The sequence below is a fragment of the Homo sapiens genome, chromosome 11 (genome assembly GCF_000001405.40).
Source record: "Homo sapiens chromosome 11, GRCh38.p14 Primary Assembly".
Classification (NCBI taxonomy): Eukaryota; Metazoa; Chordata; class Mammalia; order Primates; family Hominidae; genus Homo; species Homo sapiens.
In genome coordinates, this window is record NC_000011.10 from 133,375,131 (window position 1) to 133,389,679 (window position 14,549).

Below are 14,549 nucleotides of genomic sequence, written 5' to 3' on the forward strand. Positions count from 1 at the left end.
ATGATCCAGCTCAAAATTCTATTTTCCATAGAGTCTTCCTCTGAATTCTCATGACGTGCTAGATGTACTACCGTCTCACAACACACAACACTTAGCGAGCACGCATGTCGCGTATGTAAGTTTGTATGATTGTTACATACATAAGTATATACCACTCCACCACCTCCACGCTGGTCTGTAAACTGCCAAAGGACAGGATGGATTCATCTTTGCTTTCTCCACCATGCCTTGCAGACCACGTGCCACAAATGCTTGTTCACAGGTAAAGGGGAAGAATTCCAAGTATCCTATCCTCTGGCATGAGACATTATTTCTTACACCTCATTTCTCAGCTTCCAAGAAGAAAATAATTCTGGGGCTACTTCTAGTAATGACTTGAGAACTAAGCTAAGAAAATGTTAGATCCAAAAGATAGTGTCCAGGGTCTGGGATCATGCCCTGATGTGATCTCGTTGTATAGCCTGGCTAGGGGCACTGAACCTGGGATCTCCTGAGTGCCTACTATACTCTGCCTTCTCCTTGTACTTACACTTATCTGTCCTTATTTGAGCTGCTGCTATGGCCTTAGCTTCAATTAAACTTATTTTTCAAAAAATGTATAGTCTCTATTAACTAGTTCTCTGTCTATTCAAGCTGTCAGCTGTCTTAAGACAGACCGGTGTCTGTGCGTTCCCACAATGACTAGCAGGGTGGGCACACAGAAGTCATTGAATGAATATGTATTAAATTGCACTGGATTTCAATGAATTTGAAAAGTGCCTTAGGAATCTCAAGACAAAAGTGTCAGCTCCTCATTGTATCTTAATTCAAAGTTTGAAGATGATATTTTGGTTCAAGGAACAGAGCCAGGGAGCAGAAACTATACTGCCAGATGCATTCACTGAAACTTTGCCAGGTAGGAAGAGTTTGTTGAGGAAAGCAAGAAGGGGAAAGAGAATAATCTGGATTTAAGCTTGGCTATTAAAGAAGATCAGGAGAGAAAGAGATTGTACTGGAGGGCAGATAATGAGTCAGATTCAGTAAGAGATCATAAAGTTTACACAAGAGTAAAAAATTGCAATACTTTTTTTTAATGTGCCTTTTGTAATAAACAATACCTAAATATTTGGGCAATTAAAATGTTATAAATGTAATAACTAGAAGGAGGCAGTAAAAAAGTTATTCTATGAATATAATCATGAATTTACACAAACATGATAGCAACAAATTCTAAGCAAATACCCAATGACACAGGATTAGTTAGATAACTATGATACAGACATAAGCTGCAATATTGTGATGACATTAAACATCACTATGGATGATTTGTGGAAGGAAAGATGCCCATATACATTAAAAGTCCCCTCAAAATTACAAAAATATAATAAAGTTGTGGTAAATGATATAAATGTACATACTATGTAGACATGTGTATTATACATATACATTGTTTATAAATACATTTATGTGGTTTATGAGAATAGGAAAGTGACTAGGCTTTTTAAATATATGAACAGTGATGATTGCCTGCAAGCAAGATTATATATGAGCTATTTTTAGTCTGTTTATTTGTACTTTCTAAATTTTCTCCATTAAATATGAACTCTTGGATAAACAGAGTAATTTGGGAATAGTTGGACAGTTAGTAAGTCTAGTGGCCCAAATAAGCATGCAATGAAACTAGCTTATGCAAAATAGCAATAATAATAACAATCTGTTCATATTGAAAACTTTGGAAATTTTGCATTGAAGGAGAATATAGGACATGTCGGTGTAACCCAGTACAGGATTCCCTCTACAACCATCTTCATGCATGTTTTGCAGGCAAATGGGAAATGAAGAAAGGTCAAAAGAAGGAAGGGAGGGAGGGAGTAAAGGGAAGAAAAAGAAAAGAGATGAACGGCGACAAGCGGGCAGGGGGAAAGAGCGGGACTATGTAGTGTAGTGTTTCGACGTCCAGCAGTAAGCATTAGCCTTGAGGGCTCGTGGTTTAGGAGTGAAAGTTTGGGCCATCACAGCAGGGAGAGAATCCTAACAGGTTGACGTGCTGCCTGAGGGCACAGGGGGTGAGATTTGGGTAGAGAACAAAAGAATGAACATAGCTGAAGTCAAAGTTGCTATTGCGGCAGCCATTCGCTCTGCGTGGGAGGGTGTGTGTGGATTCTGAGCAGTCCAAGGGTTCACCTGGGCTGATGGTTGTCTCTCAGCTCAAGATGTTTCCAGCCATGCTTTGCCCTGCTGTTCTGAGGCTGGAATGCTAAGAACTACATTTTCCAAACATTTTGCCAGTCTGCTGTCGGTTGAGTTTTGCCGATTGAAGATACCAGGATGGCAGGCAAAGGCAAGATGTGGGAAGGATGCTTCCTTCTCTTTCCCTCTTCCTGTCTGTGTGGACCCAGAGGTGGCACAGGCCCCAGCAGCTGTGGGTGGCCCCAACCTCCACCTTCCCTTTGAACTCCCAGACCAAGTCTCGTTATGCTCTCTCTGACGTGCCAGTATTCAGAAAAAAAAAAAAAAAGAGCACCAAGTCCACAGGGTCTCCCATTAGAGCAGACATGTGCTAATAAGAGCTCTACCTCTTCCTTTGTTTGGGTCTCCATGAACGGTGGCTACTCCCCACAGTCACCTCAGGAACACATGGTTCATTTATTTCATTCTCCTCACTAAATTATCTCTGTTTGAAACACCTAGTGCGGGTCCTGTTTCCCCACTGAGCCCAGATGAATAGAGAGGGAGAGAGGGAAAATGGCCCTGGAGCATGGGCCTGTGCTGTGTCAGGGACCTGCAAGCACATTACTTCATTGGAATGACAGGCAGTTCCTGCAGGACCTTCAGGGTGAGTTAGTTTTTCTGCTGGACAGCACTAGCTGTTACAAAGTTTAATACGCCATATTGAGCTGAAATCGGTCTTCCTGTAATTCCTAGGTTTTACTCTTTATTCTGACACTGGAAGCCATATAGCTTATCCAATTTTTCTTTTTATGCGTCAGGCGTTTAGAAGAAGCTATGTCTCCCCAAAGCCTTTTCTTTTCCAAATTAAGTATCTCCAGTCCTTCCAGCCATTTTTCTTCAAATATGACTTTTATCTTTTCCTTCCCTCTCCTAGGGCGTCTTCATTCAATGAAATCTTTGTGTCGATATAACTCTCAAATTTTGCCTAAATGAGAACAAATACTCCACATTTTGTATGGCCTTTGAGGAAGCAGTGAAATTACCACCCTCTTTACTCAAACATTACGTTTGTATTAAATTTGATCATTTGACTTTGTGTAATATATATTTTTATTTGTTTAGTGATGGTGGGCAGCACAAATTCTACTTTTCTCTCATAGCATACTGTGAATATCCCTGTTATTTCCTCCCCTCCACATGCAATGAAGTCAGATCTTTCTCATCCCATACCCCGGCAAATTTTAAAGTAATTTAAAATATTTATTTTTACTTCTACTGACTTTCATCTTGTAATTGTTTCAATCAATTATTCTAAGCAGCTGACGTATTTTTAATCCTTTCTCTTCCCAGATTTTTGCTGCATGCGAATTTCTTTCTTTTCTTTCTTTCTTTTCTTTTCTTTCTTTCTTTCTTTTTTTCCTTCCTTCCTTCTTTCTTTCTTTTTTTGTCTTTTTTTGTTTTGTTTTCTGGAGATAAAGTCTCACTCTGTCACCTAGGCTGGACTGCAGTGATGCAATCAGAGGTCATTGCAGCCTTGAACTCCTGGGCTCCAGAGATCCTCCTGGAGCCTCAGCCTCCTGAATATGAGCAGCTAGGACAACGAGTGCACACCATCATGCCCATCTAAATTTTTATTTTATTTTTATTTTATTTTTGTAGAGACGGGGTTCTCACTATGTTGCCCAGGCTGGTCCCAAACTCCTGGCCTCAAGCAGTTCTCCCACCTGAGCCTCACAGATTGCTGGGATTAGAGGCATGAGCTACCACATTGGCCACTATATGCAAATTTGATAATCCTGCCTTGTATTTCACCATTTAAGTCTTTGAAAAGGGTAGAACCAAAAGCAGAGACCAATATCATAACCTATCAATAATAATTTTTCAAACTAGCCATTCACAACCGTCTGTTACATGTCCATTGAAGGAACCCATGTGCCTTCTAACTAGTCCACACACTAATGATTTGTTCTAAAATGTCCTCACTTCTCCCTGTGTTATCCCTTTCTTACCTATGGATGCTCTGGTCTTCTACACCCCTGTGCGTCTGATCATTTATTTCTGCCTCTGCATTCATCCTCTCAGCTGAGCTCTTTAGAGAGCTCCCTCTGCGGCCACACCCATTTCTTCAGCACTTCATTTATTTGTGTGCTCATCAGGAAATTTTGTGATTCTATATTCAGAGTGTCCCAAACTTTTGTAGCTATTGTCATCACTAACTTTTTTGTTTGCTTTTAAACGTGTGTTTCTTGAAGTCTAGAGTATGTGTCTTAGTATGTGGTACCTCCTTCTTCGCCTTGTGGGGTATTTTTCCAGCTTCTGGCCTCTTTCACTTTAATTTCTGGCATTTCTTGAAAAGGCTCTGTGCCGTTTCTCTAAAGTTAGGCTAAGTTCAGTATTTTGCAAGCTATGTTCCATGAAATGTGAAATGGTATTGCATAAAAGCCATGTTCTATGGTCAAATGATTTTGCTAGATCCTGCGTATAATGGCTATTGTTGGAAGATCCACAGTGTACAATAACATTAAAGGCTCCAAATATTCCTGTAGTAAAAAAGCCAGCTTAACTTTGTTTAACCCAACACCTCCCCAGCTTAACTGACCATAGAACTCTTTCTGGAATATGTATTTGTAGTTTGAGATCAGCCTCCACTTAAAACCTTCAGCTCACAGGTAGAATTCAGTTTGGTAGCATGAATTTTAAGGACAATTTTGTCTATGCATCTGCGTTTCCTCAACATTTACAAATCATGCCCCAGGTACCAGGAACTCTGCTAAGTTCTGAAATACAAAGATGAGTACAACATGGTTCTTGCCCTGATGTTGCTTACGATCTGCTGGCAGAGGATGAAAATATAAATGACTGGCCAGAATACAAGCAGGGGTTCAAGCAAAATGAAATGGTATCATCAGAGAGGATGCGGTGAATTCAGATAAAGGGTATCTGGAAGGGTTTAAAGAGGTGAAATTTTATTTAGACCCAAAAGAATAAAGACAATTTCAAAAGGCCTCAGAGCAGGACAAATAAAAGGCAATCACAGAATTTTAGTTTTGAAAGGAGTACTGGGGAAAATAATTTCTTCAATAATTCACATTTAAAAAAATTTTCCTAACTGATCTTCACTAAGCATGCTCTTTTGTCTATTTCTCCATTAAGTACGGTACTTTGAATGCAATATATTTCCAAGTAATATACCTAACGAGGAATACTTGAAAACTCTTCCCATGGATTGTAGATTATGTCAATATGGCCTAAAATTCTGTTTACGTTTTTGGTAACTACATATTGCATTATCTTAAATGATGCCATCAGTACAATTTTTTAATTGATATCTTAGCTAAACCATACCTCTTCTATCCCATATCTCTTTAAATATTTTTTAATCAAAAATAATACCTCACATTTATTCTAGAGAAATGTAACATTATTACATCCAGTTCCCAGCCTGCCAGTTTCGTTTTTTATTGTGATTTCATCATTCATATATTTAGTGTCTCCCCTGGTTCTTGCTATTCCTGATCTTGTAGGTGTGCTTTCTATATTGTTAAGTAAATGTTTGAATCATCTATAAAATCATTTCCAGGACAGGAGTGATGACAGAAACCTGAGGCCCTGCTAATTCACACCAAGACAACACCAAGAATAAGGACAGGGAGGTACGGACCTAAGCTGTCTCTTCCAGATAAAACAATTAGCCTTGTGCATGGAGGGAAGGCAAGGACAGGGCGAAGCGCAGGAAATAGGGTTAAATGTGTGCTACACCCAGAGTGTGGAGGTAAGGAATGTGTTCTGAGGCAGCCTGGCAGCAGGGAAGCCTGACAGGCTCCGCATGAAGAGCTGTCTTGCCTAGGAGTGGCTTAGAAATTGGACAGCTCAGGTGACATGGGCCCCTTAGTTGGATAAGGAGGTAGGCACTGGAAGACTTTGCAGTGATGCAAAAGAGAGGGTAGGAGCCTCACCTCAGTAAGTGGCAGAGGAAACTGGCAGGGACACTGAGAAGAGGGAAACAGCAGGGAAAAATGCCCTCAGCAGTGCAAGAAATGAGATGGGACAAACCAAGATTGAAAAGTATGTTTCTGTAGCACGGGATCAAATAAATGTGTGTCAGTAACAAATACAACGTAGAAAGAAAAATTCAGCTTGGAGCAGAGTGTGTTTGGGATATGATAGAACTTATACAGGGCAGTGTGAGTTGGTCATGCCCATGGTGGAGACCTGGAGCTCAGAGAAAGGCTATGCCTGGATGTGTAGCTTGAGGGACAGTTCTGATAACTGACATCACGGAAAGACACACACTCACACCCCTGGAGAAAGTGTGGAGTGTGATGAAAAGAGGATGGGAGAAAGAACTTCAGGGGATTGGGGGTCTGATGTAGAGACAGAAGGAGTGACCAGAGGGAGACCTCAGTGAGCGTAACGAGTCAGAAATGGGCAATGTCCTACCTGCCAAAGGATCTATGATTCCAGGGTGGCTGAGTCAGGATTTGTTCTTCCAAGTTCATTTTAATGTTTGGACATGAACACTTTATGTGGACACATTCATAGCAGGGCACTTTTACCATTTGTTAGCGTAAGTTCTAGGGTCTTTAAAAAAGACACTGTAGTCTGGGAAGTATCACTCCCTCAACCCTCAGCTGCTCCTGTCCCTCTGAGGCCAGCCTGGCATGGGAGCCCACCTTCCAGCTGGTTGCAGCTCCTCCTGGGAGGGAGGCCGGAGCATCTCAGCCCAGTTCTCTGCAGAAAGAACCAAGGCAAGTGCCAGGCTCTTGCAGGCTGTCTCATCAATATGCCTTTTCTCCATTTGCCTCCAGCTGCCAACTTGTTTGGGGAGGCGGAGGGATGGAAGGTGGTGTTATTGCTTTTGACTTGACTTACTGTTTTGGTCTTTTACACATAATCTGCCCCCTGACCCAACATTAGCATAATGCTCATTAATCAAGCTCTGGCCTCCAATTAATGGCCAGCTGTGTGGATGCCGTGCATTTAATAGCTTCTGAATCAGTCAGGCAAAAGGTTAGGCAAATGATTTTGGCAGGAGGGGTGGGGAATTCTGAAAGAGACTGGAGGCATGTATCCATGCAGTAAGCATGTTTGACCTCATTCGTGAGCGATTGGAGAAGGAGGCCAGGAGGGGCATTGGCCAATCATCTTCCTCTCGTTCCCCATCCCTGAGTCCCCACCCTACCCCAGATGGCCTGAAGACAACACTCTCTTCCATCCTCCTGGCCTGGGGTCACACACCCCCACATCACTGCCCAGGCAGCCGGCCAAAGAAGAAAGCCCCGATTTATTGCTCTTGGCAGCGTCTAGGCTGGGCATTTCTATAAACCCAGTGCCGGGCTGACTAATAAAACACACACCCAGATTCACCCCTCAATAAATGTCTTTCAACCTTTAATCCTGTTTGTTGCAGTCTTTAAGGGAACATTGATTCAGCAGGCAACGAGGGCTTTTCCTCCCATCTATCTCCCACCGATCGATGTTCTGTCACCCCACTCCACCCAGCCCGACAAAGGAGAGGCCTCTGAGGGGAGAGGAGGGCATCTCTCCAGATTTATTTCACTGCTTATGAAAGGAGTTTTTAAAACTGCCACATGTGTTAGCTCCTAGATAGCTTTTCTGATCCTCAGCTACTCTAGGTGACCTCCTTGAATTTGGAGCACAGGGCCCAGGTCACAGAGTAATGGCACAGACATGTGGAGGAGGAGTTCTTAATACAACTCAGCCAAAAAGGAGCTACATTTCCTCTCTTGGCCACCTTTTTTTCCCCAAGGTCTCCCACCTTAGTTAATAACACCAACATCCTCCTGGTCACCCTGGCGACACACCTGAGCTATCTCTACCCCTCCCTCCCTTTCCTGCCTATCCAAACAGGTCTCACGCCTCATCAATGCTGCCTCTTGGATCCATACCTCCTCTCCAGGCCATTGTCCTGCCCACAGCTCAGACTCCAGAGACCCCCATCCAGAGCCCTGTGAGAGCTCATTCCTCGATCCCCATTATTCCAGTTCCTTCCTATCAATCCCTTGCTGGAACTGCCGTATGGTGCTCTTTCTACGACAGGAATCTGATCACATCGTTGTCCTGATTATGAAAGGTTGGGTAACTTGCCCAAGGCCATACAGCTGGTGAGTGTCTGAGTGAAGACGGGAATCGGGTCATCCGATCTGTAATCTGCTGCTCTCCCACATGAGACACGAACTCCCCTCTTACTGTAAGGAATTTGATTTTACTTGTTTTTGGGACTGCCACATACTTCTCTGTATCATACACAGTGCCCATCCTATTATTGAAATTCAGTAAATATTTGCTCACAGAACATATCCATAAACAACATCCTGAGGTCATGTCAAGCATGAATAACGTGCGTCTTCAGAGAAATCTCTGGGGCATTTCTTTGGGAGCAAGCATCAGACAAATAAACATCATTTGAGGTTTTTAATAGGAGATCAGTAAACCTTAATAAGATTGGAATCAGCTATTTAGTGTTAAGCTATAAATAAACAGAAGGGGACCGTCTGTTCCTGAGACTGTGTAATGTTTCTAGTCTCATAGTTCATAGGCCAGTGAACAGACAGGATGTCTACACCTGCAGTGCATGCCCAGGGCCAATATGCTTCATGCTACAGTGCAGGGAGATAAGAGAAGGGTGCAGGCTTGTCACCAAGGTACACGGACTCCTCTCCCTACGCACAGAGGGACATCCCGGCAGTGCCCCAGGAGAGTGTCACTTCCATCCTGCTGATCTGTTTGAGAAGTCACCATTGCACCCACCTGGCCAATCCTCAGTCTCTTCAGTGGTAAAAACAGATACATACGCCTGTGTTGTCTGCCTCTGGAAATGCCAGCCCACTCCAGCTATATGACTGAATTAGCAACAATGTATCCAATTTCTGGGGACACCTTTGACCTAATTTTCCCAACGGCCACCCAGATTAATGCAGCTGCCAAAGCCAAAGGCCACTGTGCAAAAAAAAAAAAAAAAAAGAAAAGAAAAGAAAAGAAAAAGAAAAAAAGAAACCCAGGACTGATTTATCACCTCCCACCCTCCACTCTGGCCTGGTGTCAACCTCTCCCTTCCAAGCTACAGGTCAGAGGAAAAGCAAGAACTGTCAAGACTTAGCTTAGACTGTGGCCTAAGGTTGATAGTATTAACATCTCATTCAACCGTTGACAAGAAAGACCCTAATAAAAATAAAGGGCCAACCCAACCAGATGAGAAAGTCAGCTCCATGGTGCTGATTTACTCCTTCTCTCTGGCTCTGAAAATCAAATTGAGATGCAAGTTAATTCATTTTTATTATCATCTCAGTCTATCAATCCTAGCTCTTGTCGCTTGTCCCCAAAGAAAATCCCAGTGCCTTCTGTGCCTCATTCTAAATGCCTCTCCAAAGCATCCTGCCACTGACAGGCTGAGAGCCTGGCTGGAGACCAGCCTCAATAGAGACATGTCTTTCAGGAGGGGACTTCTCAGTCCACCCGCTCTTGCCATAGCCCTCGCCAAAGCCCCTCAGAAGTGGACATGTGACCTCCTGGATCTGTCCCAGAATGCCTAGGCTGGATGATAGGCAGATGGCTGGACATGAGTGGTAGCTGCAGGAAGGCCAGAGGTTCAGGCTTTGATCAGAAGACAGTGAGACAAAGCAAAGCACTGCGTTGGAGGGGAGGCCAACACAGAGGCCGGCCAGATCCCAGGGTGGCCCCGAGGTCTCCGCCTCTGGGTGCCACACCCTTGTGGAACCCCTCCTTGTGGCTGTGGGCAGGACCTAGTGACCTGTAATGGATAGAATAATGCAGAAGGGAGGGTGGGGGGCTCAGAGGCTTGTCCTAAGAGGCAGTGATGCCACACTCTATCCGTTGCAGCACTGGCTCTGGGGAAGCTGCTGCGCTGTGGAGGGGCCGTGTGCTGAGGGCTGGAGCTGTGGCTGATGGCCTGGGAGCAGGTTTGGATCCTCAGATGGCTGCAATCCCTGCTGGCACTGTGACTGCTGGGTCTCCTGAGAGACTCTGACCCGAAAACACTCAGCGAAGACCCTCTCAGATTCCCGACCCACAGAAACTGTGAGATAGTAAGTGTTTGCTGTTTGAGTTCACTGAGTTTGGGATAATTTGTTCTACAGCAAGGAATAACTAATGTATGTGGCTCTGCGTTTTGCCTGTATAGAAGGCAAAGGCTTGGTCGTCCGGCAGACAAGAGCTCAAGCCGAGAAAAACACTCCAGGGCCCCATTTTCCAGCCTGGTGCTGCAACCACAAAATTAGGGGTGGGGAGGACGGGAACACTTAGGTTGCCACGCTGTTCCAGTCTCCAGCCTAGCTGTTTTCAAAGCTCAGGTGCCTCTAATACTCAAGACAATGCCATCTGACTGATGAGGAAGCTGAAACTTCGATGATTAGGCCCTGGTAATGAATGTCTGCGGTGGTCCCCATGGTCCTGGTTTCCCTTTGTCTTATCCCAGATGCTCAAAATGCCAGATTCTAACTTGGCAAGAAGACTCATCCTCTTTCTTGTAACATATTATAATCTCTGTCTTCTATAAAATACTCAGGCTTCTAGAGAGGATGGAGAAGAAGCTGGAGTAACAGCAAGTTGGCTCCAGAAATTGGTTTACAAAGCAGAAATCCAGATGTTTTCTCTTTTTTTCTCTCTAAACATCAAATCAAGCAGCAGCTTGCAACACTCTGTGTGGCCCAGCTGAAGAAATTCTAAACATTGCTTCAAGGATCTAACTCACAACTCATCTTAAACCATCACAAGAAAACTCCCATTAGAGCGGGAGAGGGGAAGTGTGTGTTAATGAGCTGAAGTGTGAGAATGGGATGAATAAGCAGAAGCTTGAATGCAGCACGGAGGCGAATGAAATAATTACCCAGCTTACCATTGTTACAACGCAATAAATTTAATGTAATTCCTAAAGGCCAACCCAGTTTTTTCTTTCTTTTTATTTTTAACTCCTTTTTACATTTTCAGAATTATACTTTAATTAGCATAACATTTAAATTAGTGAATGGAATCTTAATTAGCAGAAGAAATAGACTTTTGTTGGAGTGGTAACTAAAACAAATAAATCCACTTCCTCTTTCAAGAGCCGTTTGCTTATGGCGCATTTAATAGCCTAGTGTACCATAAACAATTTGAGGGAAAGATAAGTAATTAAATTAGAAGACATACTGGCCAGCTCCCAGCTCCCAACAACGGCACTTCCTTTTTCTGTCTCACAAGCGCTCCCCTCCTACTCTCTTATCTTAGTGGGTCTCTGCAGTCTGAGAACAAAGACATGGGTCCCTCTGGACCTCTTGGGTGTTTCCCATAATTACACTCTCTTGATAATTGGCAGGTTCAAAAAGCATTACTTTAAGTCTCCCTGTTTGTTTTCCCTCTGCGATGTCCTCTTTTAATTCACTAGGTCAGGAAAAGCGCTAAGCAAATCACATCTAAATAATGACCTGTTAGTACGCACCCCACCTTTCCTTTTTGTCTTTCCTGGTCCCTTCACAGAAGGGCCATGCTTCACTCCACACTGGGGCCACTGGGAGCGAAAACTGGCAGTCCAGCCCCACACGGCAGCAGGGACAGAGCACGGTGACACTTAGGGGTGTCCGTGAGGGCAGACAGAATGCTCAGGGTATCTGTGAGGGCTGAGTGAATGCTTGGAGGCTGCAGAGGGTCCTGCCCACCCTCCATCTCAAATGAGAAAACAGGCACTAAGGACGATGACAGCACATTGTATAGGTCAGTCAGGGAGACAGCTGCCCCCAACTCCGGTATTTTGGCCCTCAGCCTGGGCTCTCTGTATCATAGCCTGTACAAATGTTCCTCAAACACATGGCCAGGAACTTGGAGACTATTCCTAACAAAGGACTATTTTTGACTTAAATATGAGGCAGGATCCAGGCTCAGGGCTTAATGTGGCCCTGCTTGGGGGATGCCTATCTCACATTTTGTACTCTCCTCTGCCCAAGAACCACCAATTAACCGGTAAGTGGTCCAGCCACAAGGAAGAGGCAAGACATCACTTGACATGACAGGACCAGTATTTATTTGGCCACTTCACAAAAGGTCCTTAAGGAAAAGGAGGAAGCAGCCACCGGCGGGGTGTTACATGGCCTGCATTCTGGTCCTGACTTCTTGAGTACTTCTGTGCACACAAAGATCTCCCTGGACCTGACTGCTTTCACCTAAGATTAGACAGCCTTTCAGTGCCCCAACAGGCAAAGCTGCATCCCTTGCTACCAGAGTTCTTCTATGAGAAGTTACCTGACAAACTCACCGGTTGTGTAAACTTGAGAAGTTAATTCACTCCTCTAAACCATCTGCTTAATTTATTAATTCCTTCACTCAGTGTTTGTATTTTTCAATAAATATGTATTCAGTGATCGCTGTATTCCAAGCATTTCTTTAGATAAAAATGCAGGATGAATAAAACAGGCAAAATCTCTGTCCACATGGCTTGCGATTCGACTGAAGAAGTCAGACTACAAAACAAACACCTGACAAGAGAAGACACAGTGATAGATGTTGTGAATAAAACTAAAGATGCAGAGGAGGGATTAATTCAGAACATATGGAGGGGCAGACCTGCCTCTCAAGGTTACTTCGGCAGAGAACTGAATCTCTTAAGGAGGTACAACATTTGACAGTCAGAACCTTTTCCAGGGAGAGGGATACCAAGTGCAAAGACACTTAGGCAGGAACCAGCACCATGTTAGAGTGGGTGAGTGAGGTTAGAGAGCTTTGGAGGGGCAGATCGTATGGGGCCCTTGAGTCTGCCCATGGGTTTTATTCGGAGTCTTAAGGGAAGCTCTAAAGCAGATGTTCCTCCCTTAGAGGGCCGCTGCCAGACTCCGCACCATGAAGCCACCTGCCTAGGACCATGGCTGGCCCATAGAAAATGTCTAATAATAATAACCATCATTATCATATTAATAACTATAATCATGATATGCTAACAATGGCTAAAAAGAGCTGGGTTTGGTAAGCACACAGAGACACACATGGTGTAACTATTGGGTACTTTGAATGTCTCCCACTTGCTTCATTTTGGTCTCATAAGTAAACCTGGAAAATGTAAAAGTGAATGGACCCTTGAGGAATGAGCTGGGCCTCTACTCTTGTTTCTAACCTTTGGGATGTGTCAGGGGAAGGAGGGCCTATGGCAATCTACAAGAGCTCTGGATGACTTACTTTGTGGGAACAGTATGGGGACAATTGGGTGACCAAGAAAAGCAAGCACTTCTCTCAAGGGTATGGGTGTCATAACCAGGTGTAACACTTCAGCTTAATCTCAACGTCAAAAAGGGTGTTCAGCCAGGAATGTTGAACGTACTGCAACTATAGGAACCAGGAGGTAGGTTTCTTCTAGAGAGAGTATAATGAGTTGTCTGAAATGCTCTGCTCTGCATGGGTTCATTTCAGTGAATTCCATTGCCCCAGAACATGTGTCATTCTTACTCTCTGACTGAGAATATCACCTTAATTGAGTTATCATATAAGGATAGCTTTTAACCCAGGTTATGAGGCTGAATGTGATGGTATGTGTGAATGACTTTGGATACTTGAAAAAAGATATTACAAATTAAATTTTCTTGAAGATGTGTGCAAGCCATGGTCATTAGTGTTTCAGATGTATTGGTTTTCATTTGGCCCTCATATTAAGCATATATATGAGGTTCTTTCCCATCCCCATGTTGCAGATGAGGAAACTGAGGCACACAGGTTAAAGTCACTCAGCTAATTTTGAGTGTCAGAGGCAAGAATTGAGCCCTCAAGCTCTAACCTCAGTACTTGGCTCTCAACCACTTTGTAATCTTACCAACAATCCCCAGTAAAGCCAGAGTGTGTTAGAGACAACAGCTTACTAAGGAGGCCCTTTAGGGGGTGACCTCATACAAGATGTCCATGCCTGCCAAAATGTCTACACCTGATCATAAAATCTTGTAACCCATCTAAATCTTTCGTTCTTAAAATGCAAATATGTATGCAAGACGAAACAGCAACTCAGAATTACACTGAGAGATAGATGATTGTTGAAACCTTCTCAAGGCTGACAAGTTTGCAGAGAAACAGGAGGGAGAATACACAGTCCTACCTGTAGGGCCTTAGTGTGGCTTTCAGGCTGACTCAGCCACTTGCTGATTGGATGACCTCGCCGGTTAAGGCATCCTCTTTGAGCTCTTGTTTCCTTATAGAAAACATGCAACTAAAAACCTATCGTGTGAGATTTTTATTAAAATAAAAATGAAATAATCTATGTATTTAGTGCAGTACTTGAATAAAATAGATGTTCACAGGTGGTAATTATTATTATTGTCATTGTTATTACTATTATTATTACTATACTTTGTATCTTATTGCACTGAAGATAGATTTTGCTTGAGGCTTGGACCTCAAGTTGAATAAAC

General features: G+C 43.5%; 1 protein-coding gene across 3 annotated transcripts in view, besides 1 other annotated feature; it reads right to left on the reverse strand.

Moving 5' to 3' along the window:
• Window positions 1-14,549, reverse strand: part of OPCML (opioid binding protein/cell adhesion molecule like) — a 1,117,521-nt gene that overhangs the window by 960,150 nt on the left and 142,822 nt on the right. The window lies entirely within an intron of this gene.
• Window positions 11,241-11,441: a silencer, noted in NCBI's record as "peak1519 fragment used in MPRA reporter construct". NCBI's record gives its function as "represses an SCP1 promoter by STARR-seq MPRAs in K562 erythroleukemia cells {active_cell/tissue: K562}" and the evidence as "EXISTENCE:reporter gene assay evidence [ECO:0000049][PMID:32103011]".